The following is a 20,211-nucleotide window of genomic DNA, read 5'->3' as shown; positions in this document are numbered from 1 at the left end:
ATCTCCTGCCCCACTCCCATCCCTTTCTATGACTCCAGTGTCTTCCCTTAGTCTGATTCTTTCATCCTGAGCAGTCCCCAGGCTTCAGCAGATGGTCAGGAAGCCCCCCATTGAAGACGTTCCCTGTGCATCCTGGGATGGGAGGGACTTCGGTGCTCAGATACCAGGGGTCCAGGTTGACACTACCACTGGGTCAGCTTTTCTTGTCAACTTCCCTCCCAGTGTGACCCTTGGGCTCTTCTGCCTCCTTAAATTATGCACCTGTTACATCAAGCATCGCCACCCACATCTCCCAAGGACAAACACTAGTACCAACTGTCAGGGACCATGCCCAAACCCACAATGAGGAAGGAGCCCTTTCCTTAACATCCTCATAATTAGGAGCACGCCTCCCTTTTTCCTGGGAGTCAGTACACCACATTGTTATGCTGCGCCTGTGTCCTGTTTGGCTTGCTTCCTGCCTTTTGGGGCCAGCCTGAAAAATAAAAAAGCCACATTATGCTTCAAAGGAGGCTCCCTTGGTTACCCTGAGAGGGGCTGTGAAATGGCCTTTCCAAAAAGACCTTCATTTAGTTTTTAGCCAAGAGTCTTTGTTCTCCCAAGTCCTTCTGAAGGAAAGGGAGATAATAGCCAAGGATGTGTTACATGTTTCGTATTTTACATATATTGGTGGAAAACAGGCTGGAAGAAAATATACCGGTATTTTAGCCGTTGTTATCTCTGGATATGAATGTAGAAGTGATACTTTTTCTTTTTCATACTTTTCTGCATTTTTCTTTCTTTTTTTATTCGTTTTGGTTATTTTCTTTTTTCCCTTTCTCTCTTTCCTTCCTTCCCTCCCTTCCTTTCCTTCCCTCCCTTCCCTTCCCTTCCCTTCCCTTCCCTTCCCTTGCCTGCCTGCCTGCCTGCTTGCCTTCCTTCCTTCCTTCCTTCCTTCCTTCCTTCCTTCCTTCCTTTCTTTCTTTCTTTCTTTCTTTCTTTCTTTCTTTCTTTCTTTCTTTCTTTCTTTCTTTCTTTCTTTCTTTCCTTTTTAGACAGAGTCTTGTTCTGTCACCCAGGCTGGAGTGCAGTGACACGATCTTGGCTAATTGCAATCTCTGTCACCTGGGTTCAAGCAATTCTCCTGCCTCAGCCACCCAAGTAGCTGGAATTATAGGCATGCACCACTAAGTCCAGCTAGTTTTTGTATTTTTAGTAGAGATGGGGTTTTGCCATTTTAGCGAGGCTGGTCTTGAACTCCTGGCCTAAAGTGATTTGATCACCTTGGCCTCCCAAAGTGCTGGGATTACAGGCATGAGCCACTGCGTTTGGCCCACTTTCTGCATTTTTCTAATTGCAGAAACTATATCTAATTTTTGAAACTATGTTCACCATCTGGCCAGGCACCATGGCTCACACCTGTAATTTCAGCACTTTGGGAGGCAAAGGCGGGCAGATCACTTGAGGTCAGGAGTTCAAGACCAGACTGGCCAATGTGGTGAAAACTCATCTCTACTAAAAATACAAAAAAATTAGCCAGGCATGGTGGTGCATGCCTGTAGTCCCAGCTACTCGGCAGGCTGAGGCAGGAGAATCGTTTGAACACAGGAGGTGGAGGAGATTGAGCCACTGCATTTCAGCCTGGGCGACAGAGGGAGACTGAAAAAAAAAAAAAAAGAAAAGAAAAGAAAGAGAGAAAGAGAAACTATATCCCCATGAAATGCTATTTAACAAATGTTTAAAACTATTTAAATATATATAACATAGCAGGAGTAAAAGAGGTCATTTTGAGTTTGAACTGGAGTCGGATCTATGTGGACACATCTGCCACTGGTGTGCTGGGAGCAGAGGCCTCCTTTGTGAGGATGGGCACCCCAGAATGTCAGAGATGGTTAGTCACAGCTGTTTCCCTAGCACCAGCAGTAGGCACTCAAAATATGTTTTTAAAACACATTAGTGAGTGAATGACGGGGGAGGAATTCCTGTAGGTTGAGCCTGATCCAGTCAGGAACTTGGTTGGCACCAGGGAGGCAGCCAGACTAGGCGTCCCTCAGCTTTGTCTCTCAGCCCAGCCTTTAATGTCCTGGGAGAACAGGATGTTGTAAGTAAAGACGGAAAGGCCGTCATTATAACAACAAACAATCTTGCTTTAGAGCTGCACGAAGAAAATGCATCACAGAAGGCAGGGAAAGTATATTCACTGCCCTGCTTCTCTGTAGGCCACCCACATTCTTTGGCAAAGGGGACTTCTCTGTGAAACAGAGATGAAGCCCATTCCCTGGAACTAAGGTGCTTGGTGAAGCAACAGTAGCAGCCAGCAGCTTAAACCTGGTTTTAAGCACGCTGGAGGCGGCTTCGACTTTGTTTTCACCATGTAGGCTACTGTTACAAAACTTCATTAGAGAACAAGACACGCTTAAATTTTTCTACTTGTGGGGAGGGTAGTGGCAGTTTCTGTTTGTGTTTCCTCCCACCCCCACTTGGTCAAGCCTAAAGCTTATTCTTGAGCATCAGGAAGCAGAAGCACAATGGGAAGTGGGACTTTCCACTACAATCATCCTTGAGTATGAGGTCTGGGGGCTAATCCTTTCTTGTTCACATGTACAGATTAACAATGCAATGCCCATATGGGTGTTCACAGCATTTTTGCCAAACCCCCAGGCTCTCTGGGACAGAGACCTTACTATTTGGTTCAGGTGACTACTTTCTTCACTCCTCGGTGATGTACCTGCATGAAATGTCCCCAGTCATCATTGCTCGGCAGTCAGAAACTGAGGAAGGTGGATGTTCTCAGTCCAGTGGGTCTCTGGACATCAGTTGTCCACTTGAGGTACAGGAACAAATCTCTTTTTTTGTTTGTTTGTTTTAATTTTTTTGTTTTTTGTTTTTTGTTGCTCTTGTTGCCCAGGCTGGAGTGCAGAGACACAATCTTGGCTCACTGCAACCCCCGCCTCCCAGGTTCAAGCGATTCTCCTGCCTCAGCCTCCTGAGTAGCTGGGATTAGAGTTGCCCGCCACCACACCTGGCTAATTTTTGTATTATTAGTAGAGATGGGGGTTTGCCATGTTGGCCAGGCTGGTCTCGAACTTCTGAGCTGGTGATCCACCCACCTTGGCCTCCCAAAGTTCTAGGATTACAGGTATGAGCCACCACACCCGGCCCAGGAACAAATCTTTCTTACTTCATTTTTATCTCTAGGTTATGGAAAGGGGTGATGGGGGTGGGGGAGGATCCTCTGCATTGTCTTCCCTAAAAAATAGGATCAACTGGGGAGACTTGTGAGCATCCCTTGGAAGCAAAGATGGACTGAACATACCTGTCTAGGTGTCCACATACTCTCTTCAGACCCTGTGAAGGCTAATTTTTCTTGTCAACTTGGCTAGGCGATTGGGGCCAGTTGTTTGGTCAACTAGTCTGGATGTTGTTAGGAAGGCATTTTGTAGATGTGATTAACATTTACAATTGGCAGACTTTAAGTAAAGCAGATTACCCTCCATGATGTGGGTGGGCCTCATCCAATCAGATGAAGGCCTTAGGAGCAAAAGCTGAGGTGTCAGGGGAAGAAGGCATTCTGCCTCAAAACTGACATAGAAATCCTGTCTAGATTTCCAGCCCACTGGTCTGCCCTGCAGACTTTGGGCCCAAGATTACAATTTCAACTCTTGTCTGAATTTCTATCCAAAGGGCCTGCCCTAGATTTCAGACTTGCCAGCATCCACAATTGCATGACTCAATCCCTTAAAATAAATCTCAATCTTTCTCTTTCTTATTGTTTCTGTTTCTCTGAAGAACCCTGACTGAAACTGACAAAGCCTCTCTCATTGACCACACTCTGAGCCCTCTTCTCAACTAGGCCTCCTCCATGGCCTGCTGAGCCCAGTTTTAGCAAAAATTCTGCTGAGGCAGTTTATTGGGAATCCCCCCTGCCCTTGATATCTAATCAGGTCTCTCTCCCCTATCCCAAGTTCCCCATAGTAATTCTCTGTCCTCTGCCTCACTGGGCCCACTGGCTCTAAAGCCCCACTTGTCCCTGTTTGTATTTGAAGTTGAGTTCCATCTCTCTCCCTGTCCCCTTCTGTTTGGGCTGCTATAACAAAATATCATCAACCAGAAGGCTTATAAACAACAGAAATTTATCTCTCACAGTTCAGAAGGCTCAGAAGTCCATGGTCAGGACATCAGCAGATTCAGTGTCTGGTAAGGGCCAATTTTCTGGTTCGTGGATGATGCTTCCTGGCTGTGTCCTCATATGATGGAAAAGGTGAGGGGTCTCTCCCAATGCCTCTTTTAGAAGGGCACTGATCTCGTTCATGAGGGCTCTGGCCTATGACATAATCATCCCTTAAAGTGCCCACCTCCTAATTCCTTCATCTTGGAAGTGAAGTTTCAACTTATGAATTTGAGGGAGACACAAACATTGAGACCATAGCACTTACCTATTGCAATGCTCTTAAATAAACTGTCTTGCCATTTTTAACAAGTGTTTGGTGAATAATTTCTCTTTAATAATACAGACCCTATACCTAATGCCAGTAACTATAAGGACTTTATAATACTCCAGAGTCAGACTCAATTTCTCATCTGGCTGCTGCCTCCTGTGTTCCCACAGCAATCTGAAGTACTGAAGTCAAAAACAGCACATGGGCCTTGCAGCATCTGGGGTGCAGCAAGCAGGGTGAAGGGGGAGACTGCCTTAGAATGGAGGGTGGCAGCTCCAAGGAATGGGAAAGCTTCTCAATCCCTTTGGTCTAAGTGGGAAAACAAAAGAGCTGGCAGCAATCTGGGGTGAGTTAGGGCCCAGGAGCTAAAAAGCAGGCCGGTTTCATGATAACGAGCTTCTTTTTTGTGTAGGATGACTGTAGCAAGTTTATCTGCAAGACCCACAGGGACCTCAGCAATGACACATTGTGGGATAGATTGGGAAGCCAGATTAGGTAATCACAGAGCTGGAGCACCTCTCTAAGAACCAGCTGGGGCTCTGCAGGGGTGTGACAAGTGCTCATCCGGATGAGGGACTCACAGAGACAACTGGCACATTAAACAGATTGCACTGTCATCTTCCTGACAGCACGCCCACAAAGGACCATGCTCAGCTGTCATCTTCAAGTGTGGGAGCAGCTTCCCTCCAAGCCCTGGGCAAGAGGCCACAAGATCCAGGTGGGGACCCAGCCTCAGACAAGTGTCCAGTAGTGGAAACTAGTAGAAAACCAGGACAGATGGGCAGGGACAACAGGGCAGAGAAGGTGAGGCCTGAGGCTTGGTGGGTACCCCAAAAGAGGTTTGGCTTGGTACAGATCATGAGTTGAGGCCATGATATCCTCCTGTCTGGTAAGGAATGGTTCCAGACATGGCTGGAGTTGCTGCTTCTGAGGAGTGTCATGAAGACTGCAACAGGGAAGGCTTGGGGCCCTGAGGCCAAGTCCGTCATGTCATTCCAGCTCCCCTTCAGGGAATGTGGAGATACACTAAAGGAATGTCTCTCTTTTATTGTTGAAAATGTGCACCTTTTCCTTCAGAGGCCTGCATCACTGCACAGAAATAATAATAATAATAAAACTACCTAAAGTTTGTTGAATAATTTCCTTAGGGAAAGCACATGACATACATAATTGCATGTAAACAACCTTATAGTTCCCATTTTAAAGCTACAAAACCCACCGGGCACAGTGGCTCACCCCTGTAATCCCAGCACTTTAGGAGGCCGAGGCAGGTGTATCATGAGGTCAGGAGTTCAAGACCAGCCTGGCCAACATAGTGAAACCCCCTCTCTACTAAAAATACAAAAATTAGCCAGGCATGGTGGCAGGCGCCTGTAATCCCAGCTACTCGGGAGGCTGAGGCAGGGAATTGCTTGAACCTGGGAGGCAGAAGTTGCAGTGAGCTGAGATTGCACCACTGCACTCCAGCCTGGGCAACAGAGCGAGACGCCATCTCAAAACAAAAACAAAAACAGAAAAAAAAAACCTGAGGCTTATGGAGTTAGTGCCCCCAAATAACACAGCTGAAAACTTAAGTTTAGCACAGTGAAAACTTAATGCAAATGTAGGCAATCTGAGTCAATACTTAACCACCATGTTATTATCTTAGCATAAAAGTTCATTCTAAAGTATGCTGACCTGACCACATCTCAGGCATACTGAGATTACTGACAGTAGCTTTAGGACCAAATGACCAGGAGCCTAAATTTGCCTCTGCTATTTCCTGGCTGAGTGACCTCAACATGCACTGCTTATTGGCAATAAGAGTCAGATTCTTCATCTATAAAATGAGGATGGCAATGTATGTAGTATGTAGTAATCATCCGATATGATTACTTTCTGGTTTGAAACCCATCTTGAAGCCAGGCCTGAGATGTGGTTAGGTGAGGGCCCCATTCTGTTCATTGGGGACCTTACCACACACAAGGGGATCTCTAGGTTGGCATAGTCATTTCCTCAGGACATTACCAGCCTAAGTCCTCATCTTCTGGAACAGTCTCACTTTCTCCCACTGAGTAGGAATGTAGCTATTTGTATTCTCTTTCTAGAAGCAAGAGGACCTCTTCTGAAGGGTGAAGAGGAGGTATGAAGACATCAGCATCACCTGGATTCAAAGAAGAGAACTGACCATAATAAATTAGAAAACAATTTGTATTACCTGCTTCAAATACTCTTTAGACAGGTTGATAGTCCAAAGTGTTGTTGACATTTTGGAAATAGTAGCATCCAACGTGTGTAAGGAGCTGGGCTTTAGAATGAAAGATCTAGAATTAAATTCTTTTCCCACTGCTGATTAGCTGGGTGGCCTTCAGGGAGTTGCTTAAATTCTCCATGCCTCAGGTTCTTTGTCAGTAAGGAAAATGCTGCATTGGGTTGTGACTAAAAACAAAATGATATTTATAAAGCAACTATCCTGGTGATGAACACAGAATGCAAGTTCTATCAATGTCCATTCTTTTCTTCTTCTTTGTTAAAAAGGTATATGTGTGTAAAGACAACTCACATCAGGCTAGAAAGCCTTGGTTGATTGAAGTTTCATTTCATTTTAAGAGATTTCTTTTTCCTGGGGATCTCCAACTCTGCTAGAAAGCTTATAAGTCCACATGCTGCTGGTGGGCTGAAGTCAGAGCCCTTCTAAGGACACCAATGGGATCATTCAGCACTAGGACTAGGACAGCACTGGCTCTCTGGGTTTCCCTGTTCCAATTCTGTGGCACAACTTCTGGCCATGGTGCTGAAAGACACTTTTCTTGATTTCTTAACTACTTTCCCTTCTCTCCACTTCATTCAGTCACAGGGTGGCTCATGGTCTTGTGGGCAGCCTGGGCTGGCCCCTGGTGAGTCCCCATACATAAGCCTCACAGCTCTTCACTGGAGCCTTTTGCCCAACTTAGGAAGACGAAGAATTGAGGTTGGAAAATAGGAGACAGGTCAGTTCCAACAATTTCTGATTCAGTGTTCATTCTAATGAACAGCTCCCTGCTCAGAAATGTAATAACAATGCTGATAGTTAGCATTCATTTAGTCCCTACTGCTTTGCCTGTATTATTAAATTAAGTAATGATATCTTATAAGCAACTCTGGCCTGATATATAGTAAGTACTTATAACTGTTGTTTTTGCTATTGTTATTTTCACTTAATTCTCTCAAATCTCTGATGAGCAGAAATTGCCATCCTCATTTTACAGATGAAGAATCTGACACTTATTGCCAATAAGCAGTACCTATTGAGGTCACTCAGCCAGAAAACAGCATAGGCAAAATTATGTTCCTGGTCATTTGGTCCTAAAGCTATTGTCAAAACATTACACTACCTCTGAAGATCCTTCTGGCCAAACAGGCAGAGGTCAGTATGATTACTTGACCCAATCTATTTCTTCTGAGCTCAATTCAGTGGTGCGTTGGGGCTCATATGAGCTTGCAAGAACCAATTGTGTGCATTTCTTCCCAACTCTGTGTTGGTAGCATGATGTCAACCAGTGGGAATATTTGCACCACACAACTAGGTAAACACTGCAAATCAGGGCTTTCTAAATTTTTCTGGAGATATGGATTAGCAGTACTTAACTAGCCAGGATTATTAAACTAAGACATGGGTAATGTCAAGGACTATCATATATGCCTGTGGATTTTAGTCTATGGTTTTCTGACTACATATATACCATGAGAGAGAAATGGGATTCAACACAATTGGTGTTATTTATTTCTGCATAACAAATTACTCTGAAATTCAGTGGCTTAAATAACAATAAATATGTATTATCTCTCAGAGTTTCTTTGGGCCAGGAATTTGGAAGAGACTTAGTTGGCTCTGTTGGATGGTTCTGGCTTGGAGTCTCTTATGAAATAGCAGGCAAAATGCCAGCTGGGCCTCCAGTCACCTGAACAAAGTTGTGCCACTCACATGGTCGGCAAATTCGTGGTGGCTATTGTCAGGAAGCCTCAAGTCCCAATCACATGGACTTCACAGAGGGCCACTTGAATGTTTTCACAATGTGAAAAGATAAACAACAGCCTTCTCCAGGGTGAATAATCTGAGAGAGCGAGGTAAAAGCTGCAACATCTTTTATGAACATCAAATTCTGCCATTTCCATAATATCCTACTGGTCACACATCAGCCCTATTCTGTGCAAGAGATAACTACACAAGGGCATGAATAGCAGGAGATGAGAATCATTGGAGGAATCTTGAAAGCTGACTACCATGATTGTACAGAGAAATTGTGATTCCTTCATCCTTCAGGGCTGACAGCAAATAATTTTCTCCTAAATCCCATGCCACTTGCCTGACAGCTGTAGCACAAAGTTTTTTTTTCTAAGCAATGAAGAATGATGGCTATTGGATAAGAAAACAAATGACAGTGTCTACCCCAACATTATACACTCCCCAGATAAGAAACTCTTCTTGTACTCACCATACAATTAGCCTCTACATGTTTGCTCTCAGCTTATTAACCAGAATAAATTCCTCTTGTGTCTTTTTTGCTTGGTTTGCACAAGCCATCTTTGTGTCTCTCTGATTGAATAGACATCCTTTTCATGGGGTGGGGCTGAAACCAAGAATTAATCTCTGGGCATTGAGTAAAGGGGAAAATGAAGCTGATACGGAAAATTAAGTTAGTTTCTTTGGCTCTGAGAAGATAAGGGCAGATGATGCCTCTATCCCAATTGGCCTGATCACAGGTGCATTATTCTGAAGCTGCTGCTTACTGAGTTAGTGTCCAGGCTGAAGGAGAATGTGTATGACTCCTCTAAAGGCAGTTGTCTCTGGAAGTATCTGAAACATTTTAGTACAGTGTACAGTGAAGGAAAGAGAGGGGAAAGCCGTTTTACAACACAAAGTGTTTATGATTATTAACATTTGATTTCTTCATAATTTAAATGGTGCAGTAAGTTCAAAAAAAGAAAAATATTGTTGCCTTGACTTAGCAGATTGTGTTTTTCACTCAAAACTTTAGTATGAAGAGCTCAAAATAGTAACTAGTTAACACATCTTCACCTTGTAAAAAGGCTTGGATAAAGCAGACACTACGAACTCTCATCCTTATTCCTTCTAACCTCCAAATTGAATGTGCATAAATCCAAGGGTTCTCAAATAGAAAACATATGTTTCTTATAACTGAGATAGCTGAGTCTGGGATAAAATGCTTTGAATGTAGCATTTCTTATTAATTAGATTAATTGTCAGGTCCACCTATAATCTGTGTTTTGTGTAGAAAATCACACCAAGCCCAAGGCATGCCAGACTTACCTGAACCATTTGTGATGGAATCACCAGATAAGCAGATTAAAGAACTACTCAGACTGTGGTATCTGGACTTCTGAAAGATACACGATGAATGTCTTATTACCAGTAGGACAAAAGTGAGGAATGGGGGCTGGATAGCAATATTTTAGAGACAGTCATATAATTGGTTGTCTTGAAGGGGTCCCAAATGACAATCTCTATTGACCTGAAGTGAGTTTCCCTTTCTTCATCCTAGAAGAATTAATATATTCTTGTCAAAATTCTTACCTGTAGTAGTCAGGGTTCAATTAGAGAAGCAAACCACTGGGATATTACATATACCAGTGCTTTGTTAGTAGGATTCGGCCTTACATAGGCTGGTAAGATATTTAACCACCTTAGAAGCTGGTTAAATAGTCTCTATAGGGCTGTCGTCTTCATATCTGATGCTGAACCATGAAGTCCTCAGGGCAGGCTGGGAAGGGAAGGGAAGATGATTGCAAAGTGGTAGAGAGCAAGGACAAGCTGGAGATGACAAGCATGAGCTGAAATGAACACAGAAGGACTGGAACCCATGTTAGTATTGCACTGCCTCCAATTTTAAATATACGGTGTCTTGTAAGAAAAGCAGATAAACACATAACTTACCCATGAGTGGAGAAGCTGAAGTACAAATTCAGGGGAGGATGGAGCAGCTGCAAGCCTGGCTGGCATCCCATGCCAACAAGGTGACCCAGTAGATAAGTGACAAGGTGACTGAGCTGCCTGGTGCTCTTGCATAGAATTTTCAAGTGTTAGAAAAATGTCTCCATGCCTTGCAATTTGTCTCTTGTGGCCAAGCCTAACTGAAAACAAACAGGAAAGGGATTCTAGGAAATCTGCTTCCACCTAGCCAAGCTGACATGTTACTAAGCCACCACATCACTTCACAGGCTAAAGCATTAGGTTCCTGGTGCAAGGTCCTGCTCTTCGCTCTATCAGCTGTCCATAAATCTGATGACTTCAGCATCCAATATCTGCGACTCTTGTTTCCTTGACCTCCTTATTACCAGTGAACTCCTTGTCCACTCCACCTCACCCATGACTTGCATAGTCATCCTTGACCTTATGTCCCCTCCAAGATGGTCCATCTTCATAGTCTAATTAAAATTTCATTCTCCCTGACTGCTCCTTTCCAACCAGCTTGCATGCTCACTTACCCCACTCTGTGTTTTTACTTCATTAGGATTTCTAGTCTGTTGACTCTTGCTTTCATCCAAAGCATCACCTCTTTCTCTTCATTATCCTCCTCAGTCAGACTAGATTCTCAACACTGTCACTTTAATGGCCCTAAACCTTATTTTTCTTTTTTTCTTTTCTCATGGTCATCAACGAAACCCCACCTCTGGATGACCCCACATAATTTCCTCTCAAGGCCTTACCTGAGCAGCCAAGAAGTGCTAGAGGAACTTAAACAACAGGACTATAATCACTTATCTCAAATGGTCATGGCTACTGTCCCGAGCTTCTCCTACTACACTTTCCAGTCAACTTATATTTTTATATGAAACAAAATATATAATTGTATTAATTTATGTGTGGAAAAACAATTATAGATTCACATGCAGCTGTAAGAAATAATACAGAGATCCAGGCAGGGCGCAATGGCTCATGTCTGTAATCCCAGCACTTTGGGAGGCTGAGGTGGGCGAATCACTTGAAGTCAGGAGTTCGAGACCAGCCTGGCCAACATGGTGAAACAAACCCTGTCTGTACTAAAAATGCAAAAATTAGCTGAATGTGGTGGTGCATGCCTGTAGTCCCAGCTACTTGGGAGGCTGAGGCAGGAGAATGGCCTGAATCCAGGAGGCGGAGGTTGCAGTGGGCCAAGATCGCACCATTGCACTCCAGCCTGGGCGACAGAGCAAATCTGTGTCTCAAAAAAAAAAAAAAAGAAAGAAAGAAAAATAATACAGAGATCCTTTGCATAGTTTTCCCAGTTTCCTCTAATGGTAATATTTTGCAGAGTTATAGCATAATATGACAACAAGAATACTAACATGGATATAATTCACTGATCTTATGCAGATTTCCATTTTACTTGTCCTCATTTGTGTGTGTAAATTCTATACAATTTTATCATCTGTGTAGGTTCATGTATTCTTTATCATAACAAAGATACTAAACAACTGTAACAGCACAAGGATTCATTATGTATTCTTTTATAGTCACCCCCACCTTCCTCCCACCCCTACTCCATCCCTAACTCCAGAAAAATCCTAATCTGTCTTCCATTTCTAAAATTTTATCATTTCACAAATGATATATAAATGGACTCATTCAGTATGTAACCTTTTGTTACAGGGATTTTTTTCTCAGTATAAGTTTCTGGAGATTCATCCAGGTTGTTGTGTATATCAATAGTTCATTCTTTTTGATTACTGAATACTATTCCATGTATGTACATACTACAGTTTGTTTAATCATTTACCTTTTGAAGGACAGCTATGTTTATTCCACTGTGGGGCAAAAAGGCTATTATCAGCATTTGTGTATAGGTCTTTTTGTGTGAACAGAAGGCTTCATTTCTCTGGATTAAATGCCCGGAGGTGTACTAGGTGGTATGGTAGTTGCACTTTGTTTTTAAGAAAACTATCAAGCTATCTTTCAGAGTGGCTGTACCATTTTACATACCCACCAGCAACGTGTCAGTGGTGAATTTTCCTCATGTTCTCACTGGCATTAGATGTTGTCTCTGTTTGTATTTATTTATTTATTTATAACGACTGGGTCTTACTATGTTGCCCAGGCTGGTCTCAAACTCCTGTGCTCAAACCATCCTCCTGCCTCAGCCTCCTAAAATTTTGGGATTACAGGCATGAGCCAACATGTGGGGCCTGTTTTTAATTTTAGTCATTTTGATAGCTATGTGAGGTTATCTCACTCTGGTTTTAATTTGCATTTTCTTAGTGGCTAATAAGGTTGAACATCTTTTCATGTGCTTATTTGCCATCTGTATATTCTCTTCAGTACAATATCTCTGCATGTATTTGCCCATTTTTAGTTGCATTATTTTTTTTTAATTTTTTTTTATTATACTTTAAGTTTTAGGGTACATGTGCACATTGTGCAGGTTAGTTACATATGTATACATGTGCCATGCTGGTGCACTGCACCCACTAACTCGTCATCTAGCATTAGGTATATCTCCCAATGCTATCCCTCCCCTCTCCCCTCACCCCACAAAAGTCCCCAGAGTGTGATATTCCCCTTCCTGTGTCCATGTGATCTCATTGTTCAATTCCCACCTATGAGTGAGAATATGCGGTGTTTGGTTTTTCGTTCTTGCGATAGTTTACTGAGAATGATGATTTCCAATTTCATCCATGTCCCTACAAAGGACATGAACTCATCATTTTTTATGGCTGCATAGTATTCCATGGTGTATATGTGCCACATTTTCTTGATCCAGTCTATCATTGTTGGACATTTGGGTTGGTTCCAAGTCTTTGCTATTGTGAATAATGCCGCAATAAACATACGTGTGCATGTATCTTTATAGCAGCATGATTTATAGTCCTTTGGGTATATACCCAGTAATGGGATGGCTGGGTCAAATGGTATTTCTAGTTCTAGATCCCTGAGGAATCGCCACACTGACTTCCACAATGGTTGAACTAGTTTACAGTCCCACCAACAGTGTAAAAGTGTTCCTATTTCTCCACATCCTCTCCAGTACCTGTTGTTTCCTGACTTTTTAATGATTGCCATTCTAACTGGTGTGAGATGGTATCTCATTGTGGTTTTGATTTGCATTTCTCTGATGGCCAGTGATGATGAGCATTTTTTCATGTGTTTTTTGGCTGCATAAATGTCTTCTTTTGAGAAGTGTCTGTTCATATCCTTTGCCCACTTTTTGATGGGGTTGTTTGTTTTTTTCTTATAAATTTGTTTGAGTTCATTGTAGATTCTGGATATTAGCCCTTTGTCAGATGAGTAGGTTGCGAAAATTTCTCCCATTTTGTAGGTTGCCTGTTCACTCTGATGGTAGTTTCTTTTGCTGTGCAGAAGCTCTTTAGTTTAATTAGATCCCATTTGTCAATTTTGTCTTTTGTTGCCATTGCTTTTGGTGTTTTGGACATGAAGTCCTTGCCCATGCCTATGTCCTGAATGGTAATGCCTAGGTTTTCTTCTAGGGTTTTTATGGTTTTAGGTCTAACGTTTAAGTCTTTAATCCATCTTGAATTGATTTTTGTATAAGGTGTAAGGAAGGGATCCAGTTTCAGCTTTCTACATATGGCTAGCCAGTTTTCCCAGCACCATTTATTAAATAGGGAATCCTTTCCCCATTGCTTGTTTTTCTCAGGTTTATCAAAGATCAGATACTTGTAGATATGCATCGTTATTTCTGAGGGCTCTGTTCTGTTCCATTGATCTATATCTCTGTTTTGGTACCAGTACCATGCTGTTTTGGTTACAGTAGCCTTGTAGTATAGTTTGAAGTCAGGTAGTGTGATGCCTCCAGCTTTGTTCTTTTGGCTTAGGATTGCCTTGGAGATGCGGGCTCTTTTTTGGTTCCATATGAACTTTAAAGTAGTTTTTTCCAATTCTGTGAAGAAAGTCATTGGTAGCTTTATGGGGATGGCATTGAATCTGTAAATTACCTTGGGCAGTATGGCCATTTTCACGATATTGATTCTTCCTACCCGTGAGCATGGAATGTTCTTCCATTTGTTTGTATCCTCTTTTATTTCCTTGAGCAGTGGTTTGTAGTTCTCCTTGAAGAGGTCCTTCACATCCCTTGTAAGTTGGATTCCTAGGTATTTTATTCTCTTTGAAGCAATTGTGAATGGGAGTTCACTCATGATTTGGCTCTCTGTTTGTCTGTTATTGGTGTATAAGAATGCTTGTGATTTTTGTACATTGATTTTGTATCCTGAGACTTTGCTGAAGTTGCTTATCAGCTTAAGGAGATTTTGGGCTGAGACAGTGGGGTTTTCTAGATATACAATCATGTCGTCTGCAAACAGGGACAATTTGACTTCCTCTTTTCCTAATTGAATACCCTTTATTTCCTTCTCCTGCCTAATTGCCCTGGCCAGAACTTCCAACACTATGTTGAATAGGAGTGGTGAGAGAGGGCATCCCTGTCTTGTGCCAGTTTTCAAAGGGAATGCTTCCAGTTTTTGCCCATTCAGTATGATATTGGCTGTGGGTTTGTCATAGATAGCTCTTATTATTTTGAAATACGTCCCATCAATACCTAATTTATTGAGAGTTTTTAGCATGAAGGGTTGTTGAATTTTGTCAAAGGCCTTTTCTGCATCTATTGAGATAATCATGTGGTTTTTGTCTTTGGCTCTGTTTATATGCTGGATTACATTTATTGATTTGCATATGTTGAACCAGCCTTGCATCCCAGGGATGAAGCCCACTTGATCATGGTGGATAAGCTTTTTGATGGATTCATTTTGCCAGTGTTTTATTGAGGATTTTTGCATCAATGTTCATCAAGGATATTGATCTAAAATTCTCTTTTTTGGTTGTGTCTCTGCTCGGCTTTGGTATCAGAATGATGCTGGCCTCATAAAATGAGTTAGGGAGGATTCCCTCTTTTTCTATTGATTGGAATAGTTTCAGAAGGAATGGTACCAGCTCCTCCTTGTACCTCTGATAGAATTCAGCTGTGAATCCATCTGGTCCTGGACTCTTTTTGGTTGGTAAACTATTGATTATTGCCACAATTTCAGCTCCTGTTACTGGTCTATTCCGAGATTCAACTTCTTCCTGGTTTAGTCTTGGGAGAGTGTATGTGTTGAGGAATTTATCCATTTCTTCTAGATTTTCTAGTTTATTTGCGTAGAGGTGTTTGTAGTATTCTCTGATGGTAGTTTGTATTTCTGTGGGATCAGTGGTGATATCCCCTTTATCATTTTTTATTGTGTCTATTTGATTCTTCTCTCTTTTCTTCTTTATTAGTCTTGCTAGCAGTCTATCAATTTTGTTGATCCTTTCAAAAAACCAGCTCCTGGATTCATTAATTTTTTGAAGGGTTTTTTGTGTCTCTATTTCCTTCAGTTCTGCTCTGATCTTAGTTATTTCTTGCCTTCTGCTAGCTTTTGAATGTGTTTGCTCTTGCTTTTCTAGTTCTTTTAATTGTGATGTTAGGGTGTCAATTTTGGATCTTTCCTGCTTTCTCTTGTGGGCATTTAGTGCTATAAATTTCCCTCTACACACTGCTTTGAATGCGTCCCAGAGATTCTGGTATGTTGTGTGTTTGTTCTCGTTGGTTTCAAAGAACATCTTTATTTCTGCCTTCATTTCGTTATGTACCCAGTAGTCATTCAGGAGCAGGTTGTTCAGTTTCCATGAAGTTGAGCGGTTTTGAGTGAGATTCTTAATCCTGAGTTCTAGTTTGATTGCACTGTGGTCTAAGAGACAGTTTGTTATAATCTCTGTTCTTTTACATTTGCTGAGGAGAGCTTTACTTCCAAGTATGTGGTCAATTTTGGAATAGGTGTGGTGTGGTGCTGAAAAAAATGTATATTCTGTTGATTTGGGGTGGAGAGTTCTGTAGATGTCTATTAGGTCCACTTGGTGCAGAGCTGAGTTCAATTCCTGGGTATCCTTGTTGACTTTCTGTCTCGTTGATCTGTCTAATGTTGACAGTGGGGTGTTAAAGTCTCCCATTATTAATGTGTGGGAGTCTAAGTCTCTTTGTAGGTCACTCAGGACTTGCTTTATGAATCTGGGTACTCCTGTATTGGGTGCATATATATTTAGGATAGTTAGCTCTTCTTGTTGAATTGATCCCTTTACCATTATGTAATGGCCTTCTTTGTCTATTTTGATCTTTGTTGGTTTAAAGTCTGTTTTATCAGAGACTAGGATTGCAACCCCTGCCTTTTTTTGTTTTCCATTTGCTTGGTAGATCTTCCTCCATCCTTTTATTTTGAGCCTATGTGTGTCTCTGCACGTGAGATGGGTTTCCTGAATACAGCACACTGATGGGTCTTGACTCTTTATCCAATTTGCCAGTCTGTGTCTTTTAATTGGAGCATTTAGTCCATTTACATTTAAAGTTAATATTGTTATGTGTGAATTTGATCCTGTCATTATGATGTTAGCTGGTTATTTTGCTCGTTAGTTGATGCAGTTTCTTCCTAGTCTCGATGGTCTTTACATTTTGGCATGATTTTGCAGCGGCTGGTACTGGTTGTTCCTTTCCATGTTTAGCGCTTCCTTCAGGAGCTCTTTTAGGGCAGGCCTGGTGGTCACAAAATCTCTCAGCATTTGCTTGTCTGTAAAGTATTTTATTTCTCCTTCACTTATTTTATTTCTCCTTCACTTATGAAGCTTAGTTTGGCTGGATATGAAATTCTGGGTTGAAAATTCTTTTCTTTAAGAATGTTGAATATTGGCCCCCACTCTCTTCTGGCTTGTAGGGTTTCTGCCGAGAGATCCGCTGTTAGTCTGATGGGCTTCCCTTTGAGGGTAACCCGACCTTTCTCTCTGGCTGCCCTTAACATTTTTTCCTTCATTTCAACTTTGGTGAAACTGACAATTACGTGTCTTGGAGTTGCTCTTCTCGAGGAGTATCTTTGTGGCGTTCTCTGTATTTCCTGAATCTGAATGTTGGCCTGCCTTGCTAGATTGGGGAAGTTCTCCTGGATAATATCCTGCAGAGTGTTTTCCAGCTTGGTTCCATTCTCCCCATCACTTTCAGGTACACCAATCATACGTAGATTTGGTCTTTTCACATAGTCCCATATTTCTTGGAGGCTTTGCTCATTTCTTTTTATTCTTTTTTCTCTAAACTTCCCTTCTCTCTTCATTTCATTCATTTCATCTTCCATTGCTGATAGCCTTTCTTCCAGTTGATCGCATCGGCTCCTGAGGCTTCTGCATTCTTCACATAGTTCTCGAGCCTTGGTTTTCAGCTCCATCAGCTCCTTTAAGCACTTCTCTGTATTGGTTATTCTAGTTATACATTCTTCTAAATTTTTTTCAAAGTTTTCAACTTCTTTGCCTTTGGTTTGAATGTCCTCCCGTAGCTCAGAGTAATTTGATTGTCTGAAGCCTTCTTCTCTCAGCTCGTCAAAGTCATTCTCCATCCAGCTTTGTTCCGTTGCTGGTGAGGAACTGCGTTACTTTGGAGGAGGAGAGGCGCTCTGCGTTTTAGAATTTCCAGTTTTTCTGTTCTGTTTTTTCCCCATCTTTGTGGTTTTATCTACTTTTGGTCTTTGATGATGGTGATGTACAGACGGGTTTTTGGTGTGGATGTCCTTTCTGTTTGTTAGTTTTCCTTCTAACAGACAGGACCCTCAGCTGCAGGTCTGTTGGAATACCCTGCCTTGTGAGATGTCAGTGTGCCCCTGCTGGGGGGTGCCTCCCAGTTAGGCTGCTCGGGGGTCAGGGGTCAGGGACCCACTTGAGGAGGCAGTCTGCCCGTTCTCAGATCTCCAGCTGCATGCTGGGAGAACCACTGCTCTCTTCAAAGCTGTCAGACAGGGACATTTAAGTCTGCAGAGGTTACTGCTGTCTTTTTGTTTGTCTGTGCCCTGCCCCCAGAGGTGGAGCCTACAGAGGCAGGCAGGCCTCCTTGAGCTGTGGTGGGCTCCACCCAGTTCGAGCTTCCCCGCTGCTTTGTTTACCTAAGAAAGCCTGGGCAATGGCGGGAGCCCCTCCCCCAGCCTCGCTGCCGCCTTGCAGTTTGATCTCAGACTGCTGTGCTAGAAATCAGCGAGACTCTGTGGGCGTAGGACCCTCCGAGCCATGTGTGGGATATAATCTCGTGGTGCGCCGTTTTTTAAGCTGGTCCGAAAAGCGCAATATTCGGGTGGGAGTGACCCGATTTTCCAGGTGCGTCTGTCACCCCTTTCTTTGACTCGGAAAGGGAACTCCCTGACCCCTTGCGCTTCCCTAGTGAGGCAATGCCTCGCCCTGCTTCGGCTCGCGCATGGTGCACGCACCCACTGACCTGCGCCCACTGTCTGGCACTCCCTAGTGAGATGAACCCGGTACCTCAGATGGAAATGCAGAAATCACCCGTCTTCTGCGTCGCTCACGCTGGGAGCTGTAGACCGGAGCTGTTCCTATTCGGCCATCTTGGCTCCTCCCCCTAGTTGCATTATTTTTTAACTGTTGAGTCTTCAGGTTCTTTATATACTCTAGACACTAGCACTTTGTCAGACATATTGTTTCCAAATATTTTCTTCCATTCTGAAGCTTGTCTTTTCATCCTCATAACAGAGTCCTTTTGCAGATCAAAAGTTTTTAATTTGATGAAGAGCAATTTATCAGGTTTTCCTTTTATGGACTTATCCTTTTGGTATCAATTCTGAGAACACTCTTCCTGGCCCTCTATTCTGTAGATTTTCTCCCAAGTTTTTTACTGAAAGTTGTATAGTTTTACATTTTATATCTATATCCATGATCTATTTTGAGTTAATTTTTGTATAAGATGTAGGACATAGGTCAAGGTTTATTTTTGTTTGTTGTTTATTTATTTTTGCCTGTGGATTTCCATTTGTTGGAAAGATTATCCTTCCATTGAATCGCTTCTGCCCCATTGTCAAAAACAGTTGGGCATGTTGGTATGGGTTTGTTTCTGGGTTCTCTGTGCTGTTCCACCGACCTGTGTGACTATCCTTCTGCCAAATTACACAGTCTTGGTTACGTAGCTCTGTGTCTTAAAATCGAATACACAGATTTCTCCTTCTTTATTTTTCCTTTCCAAAAACTTTAAAGTAATCTTGCTTTTTTGCCTTTCTTATGAATTTGAAAATAATCTATAGCTACAAACATTTTGCTAGGATTTTAATAGTCATTCCTTTCTACCTGTATATCAATTTGGGGAGAATTAATATTTAACAGTGTTGAATAGTCTAGTTCATGAACATGATGTGTCTTTCTGTGTATTCGGATCTTCTTTGATTTCTTTCATCAGCATTGCATAGTTTTCAGTATACAAATCCTGTATATGCTATTTTATATTTGCATCTGAGTAGTTAATTTTATTTGAGCAATTATAAGCGGTATTGTATTCTAATTTCAGTTTCCATGTGTTGCTAGTATACAGAAACAATTTGCTTTTTATATGTTTATCCTGCAGCCTGCATTGATGGTGACTTAATTCTGGGAGCTTATTTGTAAGATGCTTTGGGATTTTCTATGCAGACAACCATGTCATCTGCAAAGTGATGCAGTTCGATTTCTTCCTTTCTAACCTGTATGCATTTTATTTCCTTTTCTTGCCTTAATTGCACTAGCTAGAAATTCTAGCACTATGTTGAATAAGATTGGTGAGAGCAGACAGCTTGCTTTGCTCCTGATCTCAGGAGGAAAGAATTCAGTTTTTCACCATTAAGTATGTTAGCTATAAGTTTTTGTAGATTGTGTATCAAGTTAAAGAAGTTCTCCTCTATTCTTATATTTCTGAGTTTTTCCTATGAACGGGTGTGGAATTTTGTCAAGTACCTTTTCTATATCTATTGATATGATCATGGGATTTTAAATTCTTTAGTATGTTAGTATGATCGGTTATAA

The 20,211-nt window shown here is 42.0% G+C and overlaps 1 long non-coding RNA gene across 1 annotated transcript, besides 2 other annotated features; it reads right to left on the bottom strand.

The window, feature by feature from the left end:
* Positions 378 to 878: an enhancer, noted in NCBI's record as "H3K4me1 hESC enhancer chr10:86057631-86058131 (GRCh37/hg19 assembly coordinates)". NCBI's record gives its function as "activates a minimal SCP1, AML or CMV promoter by ChIP-STARR-seq in primed H9 embryonic stem cells {active_cell/tissue: H9 hESC(primed)}" and the evidence as "EXISTENCE:reporter gene assay evidence [ECO:0000049][PMID:30033119]".
* Positions 3,620 to 3,859: an enhancer, noted in NCBI's record as "active region_3678". NCBI's record gives its function as "activates an Ori minimal core promoter by ATAC-STARR-seq in GM12878 lymphoblastoid cells {active_cell/tissue: GM12878}" and the evidence as "EXISTENCE:reporter gene assay evidence [ECO:0000049][PMID:35858748]".
* LINC00858 (long intergenic non-protein coding RNA 858) lies at positions 4,094 to 18,773 on the bottom strand. The gene is made up of 6 exons (NR_038220.1): positions 18,688 to 18,773; positions 10,333 to 10,529; positions 9,973 to 10,159; positions 9,709 to 9,778; positions 6,616 to 7,346; positions 4,094 to 5,507 (listed from the first exon to the last, which is right to left on the bottom strand). It is a non-coding gene; the product is annotated as a long intergenic non-protein coding RNA 858 (long non-coding RNA).
* Positions 18,774 to 20,211: the final 1,438 nt, after the last annotated feature.

This window comes from Homo sapiens, chromosome 10 (genome assembly GCF_000001405.40).
Source record: "Homo sapiens chromosome 10, GRCh38.p14 Primary Assembly".
NCBI classification, from domain to species: domain Eukaryota; kingdom Metazoa; phylum Chordata; class Mammalia; order Primates; family Hominidae; genus Homo; species Homo sapiens.
This window is presented reverse-complemented; position numbering and strand designations above follow the sequence as displayed.